The sequence below is a fragment of the Homo sapiens genome, chromosome 4 (assembly GCF_000001405.40).
Source record: "Homo sapiens chromosome 4, GRCh38.p14 Primary Assembly".
NCBI classification, from domain to species: domain Eukaryota; kingdom Metazoa; phylum Chordata; class Mammalia; order Primates; family Hominidae; genus Homo; species Homo sapiens.
In genome coordinates, this window is record NC_000004.12 from 47,667,386 (window position 1) to 47,693,698 (window position 26,313).

Genomic DNA, 26,313 nt, shown 5'->3' on the forward strand with positions numbered 1-26,313 from the left:
CTCTGTTTGCAGTAGATATGCCACATTCCCTGTGTGGAGAGGCAGGCAAGCAAGTGTCCTGGTAAAATTCGCCCAGGCAGACCAAAGACTCCATGCCTTATTGAGAGTGATTATTCAAATTAAATTTAATTATTTGACTAAGAAGTGGTATCCATGCAAATAGATTTGCAATAAGGACTGGGCTGAAATATTAAAACATCTCCAGGACTACTTCTTAATTGAAAGAATCCGAGGATATCACAGATATTATATTTATAAGGAGGCTGATGTTGGCCTGATTAAAAAAAAATGATGCATGAAGTGCAATATGACTCTCAGTTTGCTGAAGAAGACACAACACTGAAAGGCTGGCATAATCTTGAGGATGAGTCAGAGTGGAGAGAAGACTAGACGGAAGAGGTTTGGGGTTGGTCGGTTCAGTTTATCCTTTCCTGTGATTTGTGAAGGAGGGGTTGGACATTATGGACTAAATGTTTGTGTTCCCCCAAAATTCATATGTTGAAATCCTAACCTCCAATGTGGTGGTATTAGGAGGTGGAGGCTTTGGGAGGTGATTGAGTTATAAGGGTACAGCCCCCAAGAATGGGATTAGTGCCCTTATAAAAGGGACCACACAGATCTCTCTCGCTCTCTTTTCACAGTGTGAGAATACAGTGAAAAGTCAGCCATCTGCAGCCCAGAGAGGGTCCTCACCAGAACCTGACCATGATGGCAACCTCATCTCAGATTTCCAGCTTCCAGAACTGTGAGAAATAAATGTATGTTGTTTATAAGCAATAATGATTTGTTATAGCAGTCTGAACTAAGACAAGAAGTAACATTTAAATATTTTGTTACAAGATTTAAAAATGCATGTTTTTCATAACAATAAAAACACTACAAAGATGCAGAAAGAAAAAGTTCAACATCTCTCCACTCCCCTTTCTGTTACCTTCCCTGCAAGCCAACAGAAGGCTTTGAATGCTTCCATGCCTTTCCCCGCTCACATTTATCCATACATGCCTTTGCACACTTAGACAGGGATTTCTGTTTGCTTTTGCCAAAGCAGAAGCATACCATTCCTATCACCCTTCAATTTGCTTTTGTTGCTTATTTGTCATGACCATCTTACAAGTCAGCACATGCAGCTCTAACTCTATGCTTTTTTCCTGATATCTTTAATATACTTAAAATTTTACACAATTGGTTCACTTACAGATATTTCTGATGCAGTCCTTTCTTTCCTTGTGCATACCCTCCGTTTCTTTCTTTCTACCACCCCATCAAGGTTCAACTTTTTATTGATGTATTTCACTGAAGATGATTAACAGAACATATCGCATGAATAATTTTTCTCTTTTTTACATGTGGAGAATGTATCACTTTTGATTTGGGTTAAGACATAACTTTTAAGTGTTTAGGAGCCAAGGAAAAGGAAAGGATTAAGTAATGATCATATATTATTCTGTAGATCTTTATTGAATTCGGTAAGGTTTATTGGATCTTGAGTTTTATTCCTTTAAAGGCATTCTTCACAGAATGCTAAGCAAGATAAACTCTCAAAATACCTGTCAACCCCAAATTCTATGATTTATGATATCAATAAGCTTTTTTATCTTAAGCATTAGGCTCATGTGTGATCCTGATTTAAAAATCGCCACTAGAGGGAGATCGCATCACAAACGTGAGGATATTTTAGGGCTGCAGAACTGTGCTTCCGATATAAGTTTGATGTAGTACCCAGTACAGTGTCCCGAACACAGATGAGGTTTAATAAAGATCTGTCAAAGAAAAAAATCCTGATGGAATCTCAATGGTATTCCACCTTTCAAAGTCTGTAACAAGATTCGTTCAATTCAACCTAAAGATGGGATCGTTAACTCAATGGTGTTATATCGTTATGATGTGATACTCTGAAGTTACTAGAAATCATGTATTAAGCGATGGTCATTTACATGAAAAATGTGACTTTTCTACATCTAGCTGCGTATATAATAATATTCAAAAATTCATCTTTGCCTCAAACTCTAAATCCCTCTTTAACATTATTATTTTTAATAGTTTGATATTATTTTAAGGTGAACATCCTTATAACTACCTCCCAGGTCAAGAAACTGAACTCAGGCAGACACCGCAGAAACCTTCCATATATCTTGTCTTATCTCAACTGTCTCACTTCCTTGCTCTTCTATATATATATATATATGCTTTTTTTTTTTTTTGTGACAGAGTCTCGCTCTGTCACCCAGGCTGGAGTGCAGTGGCACGATCTGGGCTCACTGCAAGCTCTGCCTCCTGGGTTCGCACCATTCTCCTGCCTCAGCTTCCCGAGTAGCTGGGACTACAGGTGCCCACCACCACGTCCAGCTAATTTTTTTGTATTTTTAGTAGAGATGGGGTTTCACCATGTTAGCCAGGATGGTCTCAATTTCCTGACCTTGTGATCTGCCCGCCTCGGCCTCCCAAAGTGCTGGGATTACAGGCGTGAGCCACCGCACCCGGCTTCTTTATAATTTTATTACCTAAGTGTGTACCACCCCTGGATATTGTAATTTAGGCTTGCCCATTTTTTGAAACTTGTCCTGTCTTTTAAGTCTCTCGTAGTCTTTGGGTTCCTCCTCCATTCTTTTGTTTTTCTTTATAATTTAACTATAGAAGAACCCAGACATTTGACTTGTAGGGTATACCAGCTTTTGAATCTTGCTTATCGCACACTCCTGGTGAAGTTAAACACGTTCCCCATTCTTTCTATTTCTGAACCTCGGCAGCTGAATCAACAAGAGTGGGCTGGGCTTCATTCCATTCACAAGACTAGAAGTGGCTAAGCTGTTCTTTCACCAGAAGCCACATCATTCTGATTTCCCTCTTTTTGTGATGTTAGCAGCTGTAGATGCTCCATGTCTTCATTCATTAATTCAACGTGTTACCAAATGGTAATATTGTATTCAATCTTTTTTTCACTTATTAGAAAATGCACATGGAAATGCTTTTGTAAATACATCATTCCTCTCTTCTACTATTTGCTCCTAAGGACAGAAGTCTGTAACCATTATAGTGATTGGCTTCTCTACCACATGACTACACCGTTTACTCCTACCAACTGAAGCTTGCAAAGAGAGAGTAGGAAATTGCTAGACCCTTAGGGAATTATTCAAAAAGCAAACCTGTTCATTTCTTCCTTGGTGTTGAATAAGAGGGGAAAATGCACGAGTAAGCGTAAAACTAAAGGTTGACGAACACTGTGGGAGGCTTGAGAGAGGGCCTGGGACATGACAGCCATGCCTGGATTTCACAGCCATGGTCAGCATGGGCACAGGGAGGCAGGAGAGACATGCCCAGGAGTCGCTTTTGCAGGTTCTCCCCATTGTCTGGATTGCATACCACAAGGGAGAAGTGATGGATTAGTCCCTCCACACCGGAATGAGGAGAATAGCATTCCTGCTCCTACCCTCAAAGGCAAGGACACATCTGTATTTTGCCTCCCAACATGGCACAGAAATGTTAAAGATGCTGGGTTGTGACTGGACATGGCAACACAGGCTGCTAAAAGCTATTTCTTGAAAAAACTATGTATCATAAGAAATGTGGTTTTTAGGCTTTTTAAAAAAGCTGTAGGCACTTCTGTGAATTTAAAATAAGCTTCTCCACTGAAAAATGCACATGGGAATACACAAACCTTTTCATATTCTATTTCAAAGTTCTCACATACCCCTGCAGCCCAGTCATAAATAGGCACTAGAGCAATACATTCTCAACCTTGGCTATACATTGAAGTCATCTGTAGAATTAAAAAATACTGATGACTGGGTCCCACCCAATATATCTTTAGCGACCATTAGAAAATCACATAATATTTTATGGGATGGCAAGAATCAGAGTCTTCAAGGACAAGAATCCCGGCAACTCCAGTGAGAGGCTGTCTCCACCAGACAGAATATCTACTACATTCTCCAAACTCAAATTTTCCTTTGGCATCAAGCAGACTAAGAAATTACTGTTCATTTGTGCCTCAGAAGCTAAGTAATACTAGTCTCTTGATAGTGGTAAACATCTTCAAGTAATGAACCATATTTTCAAATGTATGAAGGATTTTCTGAGATGCCACTTGTTTGTCCTTACAGAGACCTAAGTATGCATATATCATCTTGAAGTTCTTTGAAAGATCAGGAATAACATCTTGACTTTCAACTGCAAGTTAGGCACATACGCCTTATTTTTTATTTATTTATTTTTTTATTGAGACGGAATCTCGATCTCTCACCCAGGCTGGAGTGCAGTGGCACGGTCTCAGCTCACTGCAACCTCCACCTCCTGGATTCATGCCATTCTCCTGCCTCAGCCTCTTGAGTAGCTGGGACTACAGGCGCCCGCCACCATGCCCGGCTAATTTTTTTTTTTGTATTTTTAGTACAGACTGGGTATCACCATGTTAGCCAGGATGGTCTCAATCTCCTGACCTCATGATCCACCCGCCTCGGCCTCCCAAAGTGCTGGGATTACAGGCGTGAGCCACCGCGCCCGGCCTATGTGCCATTTTTAATAACACAGGAGTAATGAGGGCAAGTGGCTAGCCTAGTGGCTTTTACTCAGAAGAGAGCAGGTGCAAACGTTTGCTGAATATATGTGGAGAGAAGTTGGCAAGAATATACATGATGAATGAGGAAGCTGGTGACACAGTGAGACACTAGGTAAACTGAGTGTATTTAAAGAGCTTAAAGAGAACAACAGTGTAGAATATATCAGTGGGAAGATGACAATATGTTCTCCCACACTGAAAAGTGACTTCTAAGAAGCTAGAAGCCTGTCTCCTTTCTCCACCACTAGAAAGCCCAGCGCCCATCCCGATGCTTGGAACATCATGTACACACTACAAATATTGGTCAGCTCTATGAGCCAAGAGTTATCCAGTTGCCTTTCCTACAATTTATTCTTTTGACAGGAGACAACATATTTTAAATATTTAAAATTCGAAATATTTCAAATATAGAGAAAATAGGATAACATACACCCAGTCACTTCCTACCCAAATTTGACACAGGCTAACATTGCCTTTTCTACATTTTTGAGTCTAATAGTAAGTGTCATTCCATGTCAAACAACCCCCAAAACTTTAATAGTAAACACATGTCTTTGAGATGACACTGTCACTATTTAAGTTGAAGGTGAAGTAAGGAAATCGCTCTGAAAAATTTCCACGGCAGATTGAGAGACGAGTAAAATGAAACAATGGAAACAGTGGCCCAAATATGTTATACGTGTGTGTGTGTGTGTATATATATACACACATATATACACATATATATGCATATCTATAGATATGTTCTATTTAAATCAGTTTCTATTTAAATCAGTTTAGAGGAAGTAAAATGGCAGTTTGAGTGTGTTGACTTTGTGGCTTGACTAATATCTACTGTTCTCTCATATGGGAAATGGAGGAGGGGTGGGCATGTGCTTCCAGGCAAAGAGTTATTAAATGCCACAGTCAATCCTGTCAGTCTGGGTTAATTAGCTGCCTGCCTACACCCCCTTCCCAGCCTCCTTTTTTCACCCCCTTGAGACTCTGTAACAGTTATAGAGGTACTCACTATAAGCTCTACAGTGACCCAGAAAAATTAGGACCGCGAAACTGCAGCAAATGCAAGGCCGAAGACTTTCAGCATCCCAGCTTCCAAGGGCCTTAGACTGAGAGGACATGTGTTAAGAAGTAATACCCTGGCTGGGTGCAGTGGCTCGCGCCTGTAAGGCCAGTGGATTACTTGAGGTCAGGAGTTTGAGACCTGCCTGACCAACATGGTGAAACGCCATCTTTACCAAAAAATAAATAAATAAATAAATAAATAAATAAATAAATAAATAAATAAATTAGCTGGGTGTGGTGGTGTGTGCCTATAATCCCAGCTACTTGGGAGGCTGAGGCAGGAGAATCGCTTGAACCTGGGAGGCGGAGGTTGCAGTGAGCCGATATCGTGCCACTGCACTCCAGCCTGGGTGACAGAGCCAGACTCTGTCTCAGAAAAAAAAAAAAAAGGAATATCCTCTTGCCAACTGAAAACTGACTGACCTGCTTTTAAATTTCTAATCCCAACCTGAAAATGCAGCAAAAAGTTCATTAGAAAAAGTGAAAGAAGCGAGTATAACATGAAAACAGAGCCCAGGAGTCAGAAATCATTACTAGAAATCAGTCGCTGGGGATTTTCTGATTCCATTTTCCATGAGAGTCCATAGGGTGCTCTTTCACTTCCGCCCATTCTGTCTTCCCCAAATAACTCCTCCTCCTGAAAGTCATTTTAGAGCCACCTGCTTACACCGTTTGGAGCTGTTACACTGTCACCGAAACAAATTAGCCTAATGGTTCCGAAACCATTACAGGTCATCAGAGTTCCTGGAAAGGCGAGAATAAATTTCATTAAAAGAACCGACTGCCTATAATCCCAGCACTTTGGGAGGCCCAGGCAGATGGATCACTGAGGGTGTTTAGCGCCTGTAATCCTAGCTACTGTGGAGGCTGAGGCAGAAGAATCACTTGAATTTGGAAGGCAGAGGTTGCAGTGAGCCAAGATGGGGCCACTGCACTCCAGCCTCGGTGACAGAGTGAGAGTGTGTCTCAAAAAAAACAGAACAGATTGCCAAAGTTGTATGTGGCTATTTCTATGAACTTCATATTTGCTTCTTGGTTAAAGTTTCCATTTTTGAAGCTATGCTTTAAAAAGGAAGAAAGATAGCATCTGCCTACAGATGGAGCCAAGAAAATAATACAGAGAACTAATGCTGAGTTGAAAGTAATGGTAATGATATTAAGCAATGTGGACTTATAGGCGTTCGCAATGACACATTTGTTTCTGATTGAAGTTAATTAAGACCATTTGGTTTCTTTACTGCTACCACATGCGACCTTTTAAAAAGAAAAAGAAAATAGGTAGGCTTTTTTGGAGGGATTCCAGACTTCAGTATTTGAATGTCAATGCAGAAGAAAAATGCTGAATGCATGCCCTGACATGGCTATTGCATTTGTCAGCTGTTGTACTTACTACAGTTATTCAGACTGTTGTTCGGGTCACAGAGAGAGCTACCACCACATGAATCAAGGCAGGGATTGTAGAGGCATCTTTGGTCTCCTTCTTGACATGAAGTCTGAACTACAGAGGGAGGAAAAGGCACATTGGCTTTCATCATCTACAAATTCCTTACCTAAGGATCTAAAAGATCAGGAATGTCTGATGGAGCTGAGGAATAACACAACTTTAATTTCCTTCCAATTTCTCCAAAAGTATTGAACGTACGTTGAATAGGTGCTTTCTGGATTCATTTTCCTGGTAATTAAATACAATCCAGGTATTCCAAAATAGGAATGAAGAAATAAGAGACAAACTACACTAAAAACAGGTGGTTGTTGCATTTAATGGGAAAAAAATAGTGTTTTCTTTTTACATGGGTGCCAACACTTGATTACAAAATAAAATTCAAGAGATTTGAGGGACAGAGAACGTTATAAAAATCTTGAAATTCTGAATATTAAGTGACACTTTTTTAAGACTCATTTGCTCCCAATTCTAGTCTCCCTCTAAGGAAAATGCTTTCTCTAGTAATAAATAGGGCATCAACACCAATACAATAAGGATACTTTACCATAATACAAGTGTTATGCAGCTGTTATCCATATTTTCAATATGTCCTTGGAAAGTGTCATCAGCCTAGCTGTGATGACTTGAGAACTGGGTTTCTTGTTTCTAAGTGAATGACAGCAGTAGTATCAGTGTTTGCCCTAATGATTTTTCCTTAAGGTAGGTAGAGAGGAAACTGCTTTTCCTTGATTCCCTGGTCATTTGTAGATTAAATGGAGAAGGTAATAAATTACTGCCCATTCACTCTCTCCCCCATTACGATCAATTACCTTCAGGCATGTCATCTGGAATCTAGTCAACCTTGCAAGGCACTTTTAAGTATAAATAATAGTATGTGTGTATGTATAATCATTCTTACCTATAATTCTAAGATGATGTTTATTATACTGAAATATTTATCCTTTCCAGTACCACTAATGTGCAAATTAATACACAAAGCCTTGCAGAAAAGAGATGTCACTCTTTTTTTAATGTCAGCAGGGTCAAAATTTTTTCTCAAAGCAAACCTAAACAATTTCTGTGAGTTTAGGCTCTTGAGGAGGTTTTATTGACATCATGCATTCATTATTTTGGCAAATATTAAGTGCATGCCATGTGACAATCTATGTGACAAGCTAGGCACTGAGCATTAAAACATAAAAGGGCATAATACCCCCTGGGAAGTGGCTTGTGCTCTGATAGAGGTATCATCCTGAACAAAACCTTCTGATGCTGTGTGATCACTGCTTTATGGAAGACATATTTATTTTTACTTATTTATTGTTTCATAGAGATGGGGGTCTTGCTATATTGCCCAGGCTAGTCTCAAACTCCTGGTCTCAAGTAATTCTCCTGCCTCGGCCACCCAAAGTGCTGGGATTACAGGCATGTGCTACCACGCCCAGCTAAAATACATTTAAAGAGCAGTAGAAGCCAATGAGACCAGTATGGGGAAGTTTCTCAAAGGACTTTTCCAAGTCATGGTAAGAGGAAAGGATGGGTTTCCCAAGCCAAGAAACAGCACATGCAAAGGCCTAGAATAGGGAAGTGCACAGGTCAAAGTAACTGGAGCTTCAACCACTGAGAAAGGGGCTGAGAGAGGCTAGACAGATAGGCAGGGACAGAGCCTGAAGAGTTTCAAAGGCCTGACTCTTCAGCAAGACCCAAAGTCTCCAGAGAAGTGGCCCCTGCTTCCCTTTCCAGCTCTGTCTAGCAGAACAAACCTGCAACCCATGCTGACAATTATGTAGTATTTAGTACCAGGCCCCCTTTCGTTCTCAGCTCTCTAATCACAATGGTCTGCCTTCTCTCATGGTCCTCCTACACATGCCTTGCACCTTCCCACCACAGGAATTTTGGTCAAGCGGTGCCTTGTGTCTCAATTGCTTTTTCAAGCCCCGTTCTTTTTGGTTAACCCCACTCATCCTTCAGGTCTGAGCTCCAGTATCTCTTCCTCAGGGAAGCTTTGTCTGAGGCGCTTTACCAGGGCATGCACCCTATTAAGGGCATCCAAGCACCCTGAATTTCCCTTCTTAGCCTCTGTTGCTGCATGGTTAAGCATTGACTTGCCTAATAATTCGTAGCATGCCTATGTCCCCCAGGAGTCTGCAAGCTCCATCAGCGGTTTTGCTTACCACTGAATTCCCAGGGGATGGCCACATATAAACACCACAATATACATTTTTTGAGTTGAATCCATTAAAGTGAACAATATAAAAATACTAAAATTTTACTTTTAAATCTGTTTTATCATATGACTTTCTTACATCTCACACATGTAAGGAAATAATCTACAAAGCCTGCCATTTCATCATGAAAAATCCAAAATTATTTCAGAGTTGAATTATACAGAAAGAAAGAATAGTTTGATGCAAACGGAAGTGCTCGGTTGATATGCACACAATAAATTACGTTTAATAAAGGATTTCATTCTGAATTTAAAAACTGGTAAAACAAAGCACTCTTTATATATTATTTTTATGTAATAAGTCTGTGACTGAAAAGCTCTCCCTTTAGGTCTTGGGCATTTTTCCATTAAAGTTATTCTAATGATCAATATGCATTACGACAAACCTAATTTATCTATAGGTGACCAGTCTCATTGGCTGATTATGAATATACACAGCCCAAGATATGCTTTAATGTAGTAGCCATGTAATAAAAGCTCACATATATTGAGTTTTTGCCATATGCCAACACTATGAAGTAGTTATCACTATTCTGAGTGTACAGACACGCAAACTGAGACCTAAAAGGGATGTAAGTATCTTGCCAAAAGTCACCATATAGTAAGTAGCAGACCGAGGCTTGATCCTGGGTATCAGGGCTGCAACAATCATGTTATTAACAACTAGGCTGTGCCCGTGTAGTATAAACAAATGTGATGTTTGAGTCTAGGCATATTCTTCCCTGGACCCTACTGAGAGGCTTCCACACACACTGGAGCTGCATAGAACTTTCTTTTCTGACAGAAATAGTTACATTTAAAAAACAATTTATTGGATCTAGTTTTTCTTTTTGAGATTCACACGCAGATATCAAATCCTTTTAAAGTGTATTGCTCGGTAATAAGAGGCATTAAACTGCTTCTCTGAACATGATTATTTTAGGAAGACATTACATTTCCTTTCAGAAGCCAATTTCTTCTCACTGGAATCTAATCTGATTTAATTGGATGCTATACACTAAACTTCTCTCTTTATCACGGCTTTCCCCATCGAACAGTTAAGTGAATCTGACCATGCTGTTCAGGTGTCTCACCTGAGGAATGATTTTCAGTGTAAGTTGCTTGAGAATTATGTTTAGCACAAGAAAGTGTTTCCTGGCTGACTAGGGCTGTGAGGACCACTATGTTAGGCAATCTGGGATTATTTACATGGGAATCCTACTTAAGCAACTTCAAATGTGTTCCTTTGTTCCCAAGGAGAGGACCACCAGTAAAGGAATGTTCTGGGGTGGTGGGACACACTTACTGACGCTGCAGTTCTCCTCATCACTCCCATCCTTGCAGTCCTCGTCACCATCACATTGAAACGTGCTGGGGATACATTGTCCATTTCTGCATTCCACCAGACCCTGGCTGTGACAGGCTAGGAAGGACCATAACAATATTCACTTTATTTATTAATTCTTCTCTCTCAATCTGCACATCAAATAAGCAACAGCCATTTATCAAGCATCGCTAAGAAACAAGGTGTTCTGCACACACAAATGAACATATCATTGATTTTATTTCTAGAATTTTTCCTGCCTTATTGAACAGCACTTACCAAGATTAACTTTTTCTTGAGAACTGTGTGATTGTTTTTAGTGATGGAAGTATCATGATCCTACTTACTAATAAAAATGACAATTTGTAAAGGGTTCATTATATGGCAAGAGCTGTGCTAACTGCATTGTATATATAATCTCAAATTCTCATATAAATCTTGTAAAGTAGATACTATCATCTTTGTTTTACAGATGAGAAACTAAAGTTTACAGAGCATAGTACTTGCTCAAAGTCCCATGGCTAAGAGCTACAGCCAGAATGTGAAGGCAAGCTTTTTGGACTCTCAGCCCCAATATTTCATTATTTATCTACTTGACCTCATAAGCCAACAAAATAGTATATGGGAAAGAACTTGCATAGTAACTAACACATAATAAACACTTTATTTCAACACTTGTTTATGACAACTGATATTTGAAAGGGATGGCCTAATATCCATTAACCTTCTAATTCCTATCGGTTCTCTAAATTCTATACCTATTGTCTTTTAGAGTATCGGAAACCCATGGATCATGTGACCTCAGCCTTCACTGAATTACTAATATTATGACCTCTCTGTTCTTGAGTCAAGACTCCACACCAGAAGTGTTCTACCTGAGCACCATGTCCTTGCTTCTCCAAGATCTAGTGAGATACAGTCCACTCTGTTCCACTGTGTCCACTAGGCAAGGACTCGGAGGACATCCCACTTCAAATCCATTTCAGGGAAGAGGAGAGCTACGCATTGTGACTTTTTATATGACTTTTCTTATGTCAAAATAAAAACTATGTAATCCACATTTCTATTTTTGCCTCAAATTATAAGCCAATTAAATATTCAATCTCATGTATATAATCAACTTTCTTACTTTTACTAGACACAAAAAGATGAAATGAAAAGTATAATTAATTCAAACATGCAAAAGAACATATCACATTAACTCTTTCAGGTCAACTGCACTCTCTCTTAAGACCTGACAGCTTCTATTCAATCATGTATATTATTCTCTAATGGGTATAGTATATTTTCCAGGGGGAAAAAGTGTTAATAGCCATACTTGTTATTAGTTTGAAGTATAACAACTGTCTGAAGATTTTCATTCACACAGAAACACAACAGTTTATAAATTTATATTATTACTACGTTCTCTCTTTTTTTTTTTTTAAAGATGGAGTTTCACCCTGTCACCCAGGCTGGAGGGCAATGGCTTGATCTTGACTCAGTGTAATCTCCACCTCCCTGGTTCATGCCAGTCTCCTGCCTCAGCCTCCTGAGTAGCTGGGACTACAGGCACCTGCCACCACACCCAGCTAATTTTTGTATTTTTACTAGAGACTGTTGGCCAGGCTGGTCTCAAACTCCTGACCTCAGGTCATCTACCCATCTCTGCCTCCCAAAGTGCTGGGACTACAGGCGTGAGCCACCATGCCCGGCCTATTATGCTCTCTTTGTATCATCATATGAACATTAAAGGCTCTCTTCTCTCTGACGATTCTTTCCATGTTCTTCCACAAATGGCCCCTGAAAACATGTTAGGGCACTCCTGCAGGGAAGCTTAACTACTCATGTATTGTTTGCAGAAGAAAGGTTCCCCATTCTGTGGGCAGAGCATCACCTTTGACAAAGTCACAGAAGCATAAAAGAGACATATGGAGCAACGAGAGAGAAAACAGACACCCACTTGGCTAGATCAGCCAAATGAAGCTTGGAGTTTTGCAGGGAGAGGTGTGGAAGTCAGATACACTCCATTGCTATTGTCATCCCATGACTCAGTGATCTTTACAGGCTAGAACCAAAGCATAAGAATCTTTCCCTTGGAATGCTGTGTATATAGTGAGTCTTAAGTACAGTCCTCAACCTTGAGTACAGCCTAAAGAACCAGAAATGGAAAAATAAGCAAAACAAACGTCCTCAGAGCACTCACAGCAGTTGACCTCGTCAGACTTATCCACACAGTCGTGGTCACCATCACACACCCACTCCATGGCGATGCAGCGCCCGTCCCCGCAGCGATGCTCTGTTGTGGGATTGCAATCTGGAGAAATGAAAACTCACGAGGATGCAGAGAACCAGCATGACTAACAGGCAGGATTCTATGGCTCCCAGTTCCCATCGAAGAGAGTCTGTTCCAATGGCTCCAATACCTTCAATAACATTTCTACAATAGGTCTGGCCCAATTAAAATGCCACGCCCTCCCCACTCATGTGCCCCACTGACCACCATCACTGTGGGGTAAGATGGGTCTGTTTTTCAGATAAGTAACTACTCTAGCTGCCCCAGGACCCGTAGTTTGTTCTTATTGTTGTTGGCTTTTGTTTTCTTTAGTTGTCATTTTCTTTCCTTATGAAAAATTTATGATTTCTACCCTGGTTCAAAAAACAGAACTGTGATTTGTGTTTCACAATGCGGCTAGCGGATTTGATGTATCTGTAACAGCTCTCTCACGTTTCTAGGAATTATAACTTACCTGTCTGGCAAATTGGGAAGGCACGTATCTCCTTGTCATCTCTCCTGATGCTAAGCTTAAGTTTTTAATTGATTATCTTTTTTTTGAGACAAGGTCTCTCTCTTTCTCCCAGGCTGGAGTGCAGTGGTGTGATCATAGCTCACTGCAGCCTCAACCTCCTAGGATCAGGTGATCCTCCCACCCCAGCCTCCAAGTAGTTGGGACTACAAGGAATATGCCAGCATGCCTGGCCTTATATCCAAAAGAACTGCTAGGTAAGCCATGCAAAATATTTATGTTATATTCATGATTCTTTTTAGCCTGGACTTCAACTTTGTCCCAATTTATATATTAGTGAAAAAGAACTAAGTGATAAGTTCGCTCTCACAAAGGGCAGAATCCATAGGATGCTTTGCCATGAGAGGTGGTATACCCTGAATATAAGCAGTGTTTTAGAAGATGTATGTGGATTCATGAATAATAGATTCCATGAGAAAGTATGATGAGTCTAGTAACAGTGCCATGGTCATAGACAGACTTCCGGAGTGACCATGGATCTTAAAGCATATTTTGGATCAACAGAGGAAAGTATAGGGAGGACATAGGTTTGAGAAAAGAAGAAAAGCATAAGAAGTGCTTGGGCAGGAACCAGAAGAGCACAGGGAGCCAGGGCAGAGGCTGGTCTGAAGGAAAGTGATAATTATTGCTATTAGATGGAGACAACTGGCATCCAGACACACAAACTTCATGATAGCCTGCTATCTTCAGAGGAATTCTGTTGCCTGTTAAGACCATTTTTTCTCACATGCTACCTGCATGCTGGCCCTCTCCACTAACCTATCCAACTACCAAACGACACTCACTCATTTTCAATCCCCTGCATTTCCTAATTATCTCACTGGTAAAGGGAAGGGTTGAATCTGATGATCTCCAAGGCCTCCTGCAACTATAATTTCTGTGATCTATATAATTACAATTTCCTCTCATCCTTTTTCTCAAGACTAGTCAGTCCCAGGATATAACCCACATCTAAATGTAAATTAGTATAGTCATTATGGAAAACAATATGGAGGTTCTTGAGAAAACTACAAATAGAACTTCCATATAACCCAGCAATCCCACTACTGGGCATATACCCAAAGGAAAGGAAATCAGTATATCAAACAGACATCTGCACCCCCACATTCACTGCAGCACTACTCACAATAACCATGATATGGAATCAATTTATGCCATCAAAAAATGAGTGGAGAAGAAAATATGGTACATCTACACAATGGAATACTATTCAGCCACGCCAAAAGAATAAAATCCTGTTATTTGTAGCAACATGGATGAGCCTGGAGGACATTCTGTTTAGTGAAATAAGCCAGGCATAGAAACAGAAATACCACATGCCCTCACTCATATGCAGAGTTGATCTCATGGAAATAGAGAGTAGAACAGTGGTTACTAGAGGCCAGAAGGGTATGGAGGAGGAGGGACAAAGAGAGATTGCTGCCAGGTGCGGTGGCTCATGCCTGTAATCCCAGCACTTTGGGAGGCCGAGGCAGGCAAATCATGAGCTCAGGAGTTAGAGACCAGCCTGACCAACATGAAGAAACCCCATCTCTACTAAAAATACAAAAATTAGCTGAGCGTGGTGGCACACACCTGTAGTCCCAAGTACTCAGGAGGCTGAGGCAGGAGAATCACTTGAGCCCGGGAGGCGGAGATTGCAGTGAGCCGGGATAGCGCCACTGCACTCCAGCCTGGGTGATGGAGCAAGACTCCATCTCAAAAAAAAAAAAAAAAAAAAAAGAGAGAGAGAGACAGAGATTGTTTAACTGATACAAAATTACAGCTAGATAGGAGGAACAAGTTGTAGGTTTTTATAGCACTGGATGGTGACTATAGTTAATGATAATTTATTGCATATTTTCAAATAACTAAATGAGAAGATTCTGAATGTTCCTAATACAAAGAAATGATAAATGTTTGAGGTGATGGATACACTAATTACCCTGATTTGATCATTACATATTGTATACATGTATTAAAATATCATGCTGTATTCAATAAATATGTACAACTATTATTAGTCAAAATAAAATAAAAATAAACTATTATCAGAAAAAAGCAATAACCCACCTCTATCTAGTCACACAGGAATGGTTTGTACACATACATTTTAAAATATTTTTACAGATACAGCAAGTGGCAGCTAGACAGCGCTCCTAGAAACCACCAGGTTTCCCAGCATGGGGTTATTCCTAACATTCATGATTCCAATGCCTTCCTCTGACCATACCGCTGATCCTTCCCAAACATTCATTTTGATGTTATCTAATGCAGGACATTGTCTGATATCATTTGTCCAGGGTGTATCCTCATCCCAGTTTGCCCTTTTGTTCATGTTGCAAAGTTCCTACGTCACTCAATAATATGCTACCTAAAAATTCTGAAGCTAGTCACAAAGCCAAAAAAGTAAATGAGCAAGAGGAATTTTGCTGATTTTAATTCATGAGATGGCATTCAGAATTGGACATGACTCTTTAAAAAGTGGGGTTATTCTTTAAAAGATAAGATCACCATGTGTACACAAAACAAATGCATCATCCTAACCCTGGGTGTAGCTGCTGAACAGGTGGTCCCTGTACTATTTGAGGATTAAATAAAGGAGGGGACTTCAGTCACATGTACCAAGGGAATCAGGCACAGACAATATATCTGCCCTCAAAGTTTGCTCAAAAGCCCAAATCTAACGTAAGCCACTGGCTCTAACCAGAGGAGAAACAGAACACATTTGAGGAGAGGAAAAAAAACTATTAATGCATTAACAACCTTTACCAGTCTTCCCATCCCACTTCTTAAACATTTTCTTAATATGATTTTTTAGGTATTACATTTACACATAAGACATTACTGAGGACAGTGACTGAACAAACTTCCTCCTTCTAAAAAACAAGAAACCAATCATTTTGTAATTTAAACTGCTAATCATATTAACACATAATGAACTGTAAGTTTTTGGTTATAAATTTCTATGATTTTAAATTAAAACCTTTGGGGAAACAATGCTACTTACCACAGTTTTGCTCATCACTCAAATCCCCACAGTCATCATATCCATCACACACAAGGCTGTAATTAAGGCACTTGCCTGTGTGACAGTGAAACAGATTCTCGCTGCAGTCTGCAAATAAAAGAAGCCACCAGTGTGTCATCAGAGCCATACAGAATGCTATTGTAGTACGATATTTAACAAAAGCCAATCATGGAAGGGACACCCTAATGGTAACCTGGTCCACACCTATTGTTTTATAGGTGAGAAGGTGGCACACAGAGATACAACGACCTGTTCAAGGCCACTTGAACAGTGGCTCCCAAGCCAAGTGATTTTATCACTTTCTGATGTGTTTCTCTGACTTCTATTTTATGTCACCTGAACGATCCTTGATTGTTAAAGATGAGAAAAGACATTCTCAGTTCACCATCATTCCTAATGAAGTTCTTGTTCATGCAGAATAGACTTTAGTAACTCTTATGTTTTCTTTAGAGTTGAAGTCTAGGTTTGTCAGTAGAAAGCATAAACATAACAAATAAAATAAGTCATTTAGATTATGGAGTTATTATTTCCTTTCACATAAACATTACTGCTTAAGTCAATTGAGTGTTTCATAATGCAATCCTCAAATAAGCAAGTACTGTCCAAAGACTATGGTGGCAAGATGAGAAGTGCTATGTAATCTCAGGATGCTTATAGTTTAATGTTGAAATAAACAACATCCAGGGCAAATGGTTTCCTGATTTTAATAGGAAAATAAAGTCTTGTCCTTGGGTAAACCAGAACTCCTATCCTGGTTCTGCCATCTACTAGCTGTGGGACTTTTAGTGTGTTATTGTTAGTTCAAGTCTAGGAGTCTGTGAACTGATGTATGAAATTGGGACAAAATCAGCCACTTAATAGGGTTTGAAAGAAGAGTTTAATGAAATAGTGTGTGTAAGGCAATTCAATGGAAAGAGAATGTTCTTTTCAACAAACGGTATTGGGACAATACTAGAATAATATTTGCAAATTATATGTATGATAAAGAAATTTGGATATCCAGAGTCTCTATAGAACTCTTACATTCAATAATCAGACGAAAAAGAATTCAATTATAAATGGTCAAAAGACTTGAATAGAAAGTCTTCATGAAAGACATAAAAACACATGAAAAGGTGCTCAACGTTATTAGTCATTAAGCAAAGGCAGCGGGAGGTGAGAGGGCAGGACAAAACAAAAGAAAAAAAAATAAGCTAAGGCAAATTAAAACCACAAGAAGATATAACTACACATCCCTTAAAATGGCTACAATGGAAAAGATGGATAATAGCAAGTATTGGCAAGGATTTTGAGAAAATGAATCTCATGGATCTCTGGTGAGACTAAAATAATAATGCCACCTTGGAAAACTGGCAGTTTCTTATGAAGGTAACTGCAACCTTACCATACAATTAATTTGTGAATTCCACTCTTAGGAATCTACCCAAGATAAATTAAACATATATCCACATGAAGATTTATATATAGATGTTCACAGCAGCATTATTCATAAGCCAAACACTGGAAAAAAATCCAACTACTCACTAACTGGAATGGACAAACAAAACGTAATACTCATGCAGTGAAATACTACTCGGTGATTAAAAGGATGAAACTACCAATATATGTGACAGTATGGATGAACCCCAAAAAGTTACGCTGTGTGAAAGAAATCAGATACAAAAATTACATATTATATGACTCGTTTATGGAATTCCCAGAAAAAACAAATTTATAGAAACAGAAATCTGAGAAGTAGTTACAGTAGCTGAGGGATTAGAATTGGTGACTGACTACAAATGTGTGGGAGATAAATTTTGGGGGAGATGCAAACATTCTAGAACTGTATTGTGCGGTTAGTCGCATAACTCTATAAGTTTACTAAAAATCAATAGATGAAATTTATAGGATGTAAATTATACCTCAATAAAGCTGTAAAAATGTTTAAAATCAATATATGTAAAGAAATCTGCATTTTACAGAAACTAGATTTCTTAAGTATATTTTTATTTCCCTTATTTAAAGTAAATTAAGTGCAAAACAGTTTGCTTAAGGCTGGAGAAGGAATACAGAAAATAGGCGGAATTTCAATAGGGTGGATGTAATGAAAAGTTTAGCATATTTCAAGCAGATGAAATAGCAAGAACAAAGGAAAGAGGCAAAAAAATAGGGCACGTTTGAAGATCAGTCTACTTGGCTGATGAAGGCCAGAAATCAAGCAGTCAGTGGTTCAATCTCCTGAATTCCAGCTGATTGTTTCTCCTCAAGCAGAAGCCTGTATCTCATACAAGTAGCAGCCACCACTTTACTGTAAACATCCCATACTAGATGACGATTCGTTATCCAAAGCCTTTGGCATTGATCAGTTAAAACATTAGGCTTGCCAAAATATGACACTTACATATACATGAATCATAAATTACTGTTTCAAAAAAGCACTCTTCTAAAAAAAAAACAACTTAAAGTTTTTAGAATCACATCATTTTAGGAATGGAATGGGCCTTAGAAATCACCTGTTCAGTGTCTTCATTAGGAAGGTGTGTATGTGCACAGACACACACACGCATATATACACGTAAGTCCATACTTATAAGCATACAGAACTTTGTAAGTACTTTTTATTTTTCACTTCCCCCAGCCTGAATAATTTTCAAATAAGGACAGCCACCATAAGGGAAAATATAAGAACTAAGAAGTCCTAGCGATCACCTTGACAACGGTATTTTATCCCACTCAGCAGAGGGCGCTATTTCCCCACCCTGCACCCCCACTGCTGAATGAGGCTACAACACATGTGACAGCTGAGTGGAAAGGTTATGACACTGGTTCTTCTGCCCACAGGGTAGATCTGGGGAATTCGTGCATCAAGATATATACACTACCTTGTGAAATTCTAAAAGATCTTTTTGATGTTTTTTTGTCTTAATCTAAATTACTCTTGTGGGAAGTTTTGAGTCAACATGCTAGAATCAGCAATAGCCCGGGAAATAAGGCTTCTCAACTTGACGATCAGTGCAAAGTATACGCATGCATTCGCCCAGAGGATGGGGGACAGTGTTTCAGCACAATTTAAACCCTAGGAGTTAATTTCTTTGTAAGCACTACACTCACTTTTTTTGACAGTAGGACTACTAGGGAATCAAATACCCCTTTCAGAATCTGATTAACCTAAGAACACACCAAAAATTTCCAAAAGTTTATTTGTCTTCTATGAGGCCCATTCTAGGACCCCTGGTAATTCATACTAAAACACTGCATTGGAGATATTTTAAAAATTGATGTCCTCATTTATTAAATTACTTTATAAATGGAGAGGATTCAGGCATTTTTTAAAAATCCTCATTGTTCTCCCAGGTGTGGATTCAACTTTCTACTATTATAACTTGCTTGGTTAGAAGCCATTTTTAGAAGTGAGATACAAAATGAGCTGCATTTGGAAAACAATCTGTTACTTCCCTAAGGTCTGTGTGATTAGTAAACACGCAAAACCTTAACCAGAGGCACTGCAAAGCCAGAAATACAAATGGCAAATGCAAATACAGTAGCAAATGGCAAAGATCACAGTGTCTCCTTTTACTGAAATAAATGTTTATTTGACCTGGAAAGAGATGTTGTCAGTGCAATTTGGGGCCAGCAAATCAAAATTTGAAAAAGCTGCTTGCTGTGATTTTCTTGCTCAATAACAAGCATAATTTTGCATGGCCTAAGGTAGATGTTTTTCTAGACACACCTTTTTTTTTCTTAAGGAGAGCTTGATACAAAATGTTTCTTCTGAAATTCTTGCATGTTAATATTGATTTCAGTTTGGCATCTCATACGCACACTATTAATTCTTGTCTCTCAAAATTATTGTTAAATTAGAGCAGAAAACTAACACACAGAAAGGCTTTTTCTCAAAGGCTTCTTTCAACTGTACAGTCTCTATGACTATAAACATGAATGTGTTGCCTCAACTCAAGATGCAAGTACGGATGCTCAGTTTCCACCCACAGAAGATTAAATATGGAAAGGACCAGAGGTTATTTCATCCAATCCTCTGATTCTGAAATGACCAGAGGAGTTAGACGGTCTGTCCACTGTTGCTCAGCTCATTTACAGCAGAACCATGAGAAGAACCAGGCTTCTTGACTCTCTGAGTTCTTTCTACTATTGGCTTCCAGCTCTAGAAAAGGGTTTCTCAACGGCAGTATCATTTGACATTTTGGACTGGGTAATTCTTTGTTGTTGGGGGCTGCCCTGTGCAGGGTAGTTTGTTTAGCAGCATCTCTGGCCTCTACCCACTAGATGCCAGTAGCACCTCCCTCCACTCTCACAGTTGTGACAATAAAAAAAAGTCTCCATGCATTGCAAAATGTCACCTAGAGAATTGAAAATCATGTTGCACAGTATACAAACATCACCTGAGTGCAAGGCCTAGCTTTAATCCCATCTTTTCCATCAGCTGTCTACGCAATCCAGCTTCTAGTAATCTTACTCTTTTTACTAGAAGGACTCCCTGCTGCTGCCTTTTTTTGTTTGCTTGTTTACCTCAATTTTTTTGACTTTGTGATATTGCTTGTGTTATACTGTTTTAAAATACCATATTTAGGCTGGGCACAGTGGTTCACGCCGGTAATCCTAGCACTTTGGGAAGCTGTGGCAGGCTGATCACTTTGAGCTCAGGAGTTTGAGACCAGCCTGGGCAACATGGCAAAACCTTGTTTCTACAAAAAATACAAAAATCAGGCCTGGCGTGGTGGCTCACGCCTGTAGTTCCAGTTACTCAGGAGGCTGAGCCTGGAGAATTGCTTGAGCTCGGGTAGTGGAGGCTGCAATGAGCTGAGATCACACCTCTGCACTCCAGCCTGGGTGACAGAGTGAGACTCCATCTCAAAAAAAAATTTTAAAAAACATATTTAATAGTTTCTATGTGTATACGTTAGTTCCCTGATTTGATTAAAAGACTCATAAAGAAAGAAACCATGGCTTAACAGTATCTTTCTATTTACTAGGTAGCTAAAACATGATTCATACATAGTAGGAATTAAAGAATATTCAATACTTTGATTGATTCAGTATAATCAGATTGCCACTATACAAAAAAGTAAAATTTGCAAACATTTAGTACTTCTTCCATAAGCATAGAGTTTTTTTATTTTTATAATTTTGATGAAACTATTTCTAGCATTTACTTGCAGCTACATCTTAGTAGAAAGATTATTATAGATACAGTCATTTTTGATGATTCAAACATCATTTGGAATATCAATTTTTATTTTGTGCTTTTTAGGCTGCCTCCATTCTAAAATAGCTTCACGTGGTGCTGCTTTTAAAATTGTTGTGCATATTTTGTGTTTCTCTCTTCCTTACATGTATCAGCTGACATTATCAGCTGTCCCCACGACTTCCAGTGGTCATTCTCTGCACCTAGTAACAAGAGGTGCTGGGTGGGAGTGGAGGAACAATAAGATAACAACAGTGACAACAACAGTCACGACCGCAAATCCTAGTGCTTTTTGAGACTTACTGCATGCAAGACATTGGTCTATATGCTTTATATTCAGTGAATCATTATTCTGAACAATTTGAGAGATATTCACTATTTATTGTTTCCATTGTACTACTGAAGAAACTGAGGCACAGAGAGGTTGAGTAACTTGCCTAAGTTATCAGAGGCAGGAAATGGTAAGATCGAAACCTAAGCAGCCTGACTCAAGAATTTATAGTAGTCATTACTACACCGTATTACACTCGGTGTAATTAGATAGCCACCATCCTCAAAAATAAGTCAACCAATTTTACCCAAAATTCACAGAAAATGATTTTCAAAAATATTTGATAGTGGTTTTTATGTGTCATAAAATGTGTGAACTTTGTGGCAGCTATTTCACTGTGAAAACGTTTTCCTTGAGTTTCTAATTTAAAATTAAGAAGTATTCATCTACTAAGCACTTGCTATGTCCTAGGCACTATTCTAGGAGCCAGTTATAGACTCAAAAGATTATAGAATCTTAACAACAAAAGAGACACCAAGCACCTTCTAGCCCGGTGCTTCCAAGTCTGGCCGTCCATTAGAATTACCTGGAGAGCGTTACAAAAGTACTGCTGCCTGGTCCCCACTGCAGACAAACTGAATCAAAATCTCTGCAGATGGGGCTTCCTGAGGAGGCCAGCATGCAGCCATCCATGATGATACTGAAAGCCAGGGTTACAGAAGTGGCCTGCCTAAAGCCACAGAGGTAGACATTTCTAAAATTTTCCTGGTTTTTGAAAATTTTTCTACTGCACCACTAAAATTGTTTCAGGTGTTTGGAAATCTTTTCATCCAACAAATACTTAAGAAGAGATTGACAAGACAAAACCAGTTAGGGGAGAAAGTCAGAAAGTCACAGATACCTGGAGTGCTCTTTAATAAACAATTACCTCTGAAAGCCGTAATACATCAAAATCAGTTAAAACATTTTCCTGCAATATGAATGATCAGAGTATAATCTCACTAAATCTGAACTTTTTTATGGACAAGGACAAGTCAAAGGCAGACGAGCTGAAAGAAAAAGCATTAGATTTTGAACCATTTAAGACTGGGTTCAAATTTAGCGAATCATGGGCAAATTTATTCATTGCCCTAAGCTCTGTCTCTGCACCTGTACAAAAGGTGGTAGATAACACTTCCTATGCTGATAATTAAATCAAAGCATGTAGGTAAATGCTTCTAGCATAGTTTATGAGGTAACTCACAAATAATAAGTCCCTTTTCTCCCTTCCTTTGAACCTGACTAAAAAGGAAATTAATAACTCAATGAACTACACAGGCCACCTAATATGACCCATGTTTTATAAAAGCAGGCAAGTGCTTAGCTAGAGATCATTTTTGCATCTAATCCATAGAAGCATAATCTCCTCTGACAGTCCTCCTTCTTGCCTACTTGCGAGAACCTTAGGAACTAGGCATTTTCTTCTGTTCCTCACTGAGAACGCACAGCAAAACTTCCTTCTCCTCTCATGAGTATCTGTGGGTTGCATTCACTCTGATTCACATCCAAGGCCTAATTCAGACTTACACTATTCCTTCACCACAGGGTGGTGACAAAAGGAGTATGGCACCCTCCATAAACACTCATGCTGAAACACCACAAGCATTCAACCTTAAAGCTCAAAAGCAGATGTCCTTGTAAGGTCAAAAACAATTGCATAAGAAGCCTTCAATGTCTGTGTTTTCATACAGAAGTTTTCTGAAGGGATGTATTTCCCCAACGGACCAAAAGATCATTTTTGTGATATGTTCATGGGAAAGGGCCATATCTATTTTCCTTAATAAATGCTTCAGCTCCTCAGACATTGGCAAATGCCTTGCAAAACAGTAACACGTTGTTGACAAGGAAAATTAGCCCCTTCAAATTTAATGTTAACAAATGCAGCAGAAAGCACTTACAGGGTTTGGAGTGCAATGCTCAGTACTATTGAGGAACATATGATAAAAACCATAGTTGGCCCACCACAGGAGATACAGGCATATGCAGAATTTGAACAATACCATAACTTGGGCCACAATGGGAGAATAGCTAGAGATTCTACCAAATTCCCATAAATTGGATATCGTTACATTGAATTATTTAAAGTTCCCTATTTTGGCTGCTTTGCACAGCATCTTCTGCTAAGCCCACAGCAACACTTCCCAGTGTAAATACACAGCCTACAAAAATGTTTTTATGTAAAATTGTGTGCCATGCGTTGTTTTGAAAAGAAAATTCCAAGTCGTAAAACACAAATTTCTTACTGAAAAGAACGTTTCCTGAAATATGCGTGGCATAATTGAAGTTCCACGGGATGCTAGATAGTAGGCAGAATAAAAAATGCATGAATAAATGAATAAATAAAGGTGAAGATTCACATGAGAAATAATTCTGATGAAATAAAAAGTTAGGCAAATGTCTTTTTTTAAAACTACAGAATTTCTCAGAACCTCTAATATACAAATGTGTATTCTAACCCTCTAAGAAGTAGACCTGATAGTATTTCCCAAAGTTTTTTTTTTTCAAGCATTATTCCAGACTCAGATACTACATGAAACACCAGTTTGGGAAACACTGACCTGAAATGTTACCATGATAAACTGCCATTCAGTAGTTCTGCCATTCAGCAGGACAAAGGAGCGTCCTAGCCCATCAGATGAAAGATGAGTTGGTCCATTTGGCAAACAGACCAGAAGAATTTTTTGATTAAGATCAGTATTCTCAAGCACTTATTACATCTTGGCAATTCCCATGAGGAGTGAAACACAGCTCTTGCCATACTAACTGTGGCTGTTTATATAACCCTTAAAGAACAATTAGAACTCAGATGAAAGATGAGTTGGTCCATTTGGCAAACAGACCAGAAGAATTTTTTGATTAAGATCAGTATTCTCAAGCACTTATTACATCTTGGCAATTCCCATAAGGAGTGAAACACAGCTCTTGCCATACTAACTGTGGCTGTTTATATAACCCTTAAAGAACAATTAGAACTCTTGCATGTAGTGTTCTAATTGGAGATACTTCTGTTTTGAATACAGATTACTCAGTGTAATTGTTTTCTTTTTTTAACCTACTAGGGGTGAACAAATAGGACACTAGCTTTGTTTATTACAATGTACTTCTTCAGGATGGTTTTCCCCTTCTTTCCAGTTTGTAAGTGCAAAACAACTTGAAATCTGAATCTATATTGGACAAACCACTGGCCAATTCAGTCAAAATGACTAATCAATCAATGGGGAATAAATTGAGGACACATAAGGCTGAATCTACTGATTAGTGGATTTTAAACAGTTAGTGCCATTGACTATCTCCAGGTTTGGAAGAAGCATAAAAAAAAAAACAAGAGGCTTTGTATTTACTGTGTCATGAAAGTTAAGAATCATTAGGGTGAAAATGTTGCTATAAAAATGTCCTTTTTTAAAAAAAATTGACCTTTATACTCATAAACAAAAATGAAAATTCTCACCCAATCAAAATAAACCAAAGCCTTCTCCCAATTTAAACCACTTTGTGCAAAAACGCTGCAATCCCTCATCTGTTCCAATGCAGCCTCTACCTGTTGAGCTCCTAATAAACCATGCCTTTGAAAGGTGTGCAAACATGCTGCTGTCATTCTGGGGGAAGATAAACACGTTTGCTCGCTTTAGAAAGGCAAACAAAAAGCAGTCTACACAAATGCTGATGATTGTCAGGATTTGAGAATCCCTGTCCACTCAGACAAACCCTAAACAGCTTGTCACATACTGCAATGAGCCTCGTCACTCCAGTCGTCACAGTCGTTGTAGCCATTACATTGCAGTTTCCCGGGGATGCAGATTCCACTGGCACACAGAAAGTTCTCACCCCTTCCACAGAGCACTAAAAAAAAAGGGCAGGAAATAATGTCAGAATAAGATGGGTTTTTTTTCTTTTAAGATTACAAAAAATAAATACATAGAAAATCTTCTTTTGCTATTCAACAGATTTGTTTCCAAATTCCCTCAGTTTTATTGTCATCAATTTTTCTTTGGCATCCTAGCACATTAATTGAAAAATTACCTGGAAATAATACAAAGAGTGATTGCTTGTCTGAGGAAAGCAGGAGATAGTTCACCAGTGGGCTTGCAGAGTGAGGCATCCATGTTCAGAGAGCAAGAGGGTAGCTTCATCATTTGCACAATTTATGTGGGGAGAATACCCAATGGGTGTATCTTTCTAAATAATTGAAAATTATGTCCAAGTAAAGTGCTACTAATTGAACCAACATTTAAAAAGTCTACCTTTCTAAAAAGCTACTCTATGTACCACAGAGAAAGTTCCAGTAAAAACAGAGTCAGTAAATAACCATTTACTGTGTGTTTGAACATAGCATAGAGACCCAGTGCCCTGTATTTGAAATGTATTTACTTGCCTTAATGAAAATGCCAGTTAAAATGTCAGCGTCTATTTTGGCATAAGGAACGGGAAATGGCATTCACTAATAAAATTTTCATT

The 26,313-nt window shown here is 38.9% G+C and overlaps 1 protein-coding gene across 3 annotated transcripts in view; it reads right to left on the reverse strand.

Moving 5' to 3' along the window:
• CORIN (corin, serine peptidase) overlaps positions 1 to 26,313 on the reverse strand; it is a 244,067-nt gene that overhangs the window by 73,385 nt on the left and 144,369 nt on the right. For 2 of the 3 annotated variants that reach the window (NM_001278585.2, NM_001278586.2), the window contains 4 exons: positions 25,585 to 25,698; positions 16,346 to 16,453; positions 10,553 to 10,669; positions 7,008 to 7,115 (listed from right to left, as the gene is read on the reverse strand). In NM_001278585.2, coding sequence (NP_001265514.1) covers positions 7,008 to 7,115; positions 10,553 to 10,669; positions 16,346 to 16,453; positions 25,585 to 25,698 — 447 coding nt within the window. Of the gene's footprint in view, positions 1 to 7,007; positions 7,116 to 10,552; positions 10,670 to 12,755; positions 12,867 to 16,345; positions 16,454 to 25,584; positions 25,699 to 26,313 lie in introns of all 3 variants that reach the window. The other variant, NM_006587.4, reaches the window with a different exon arrangement.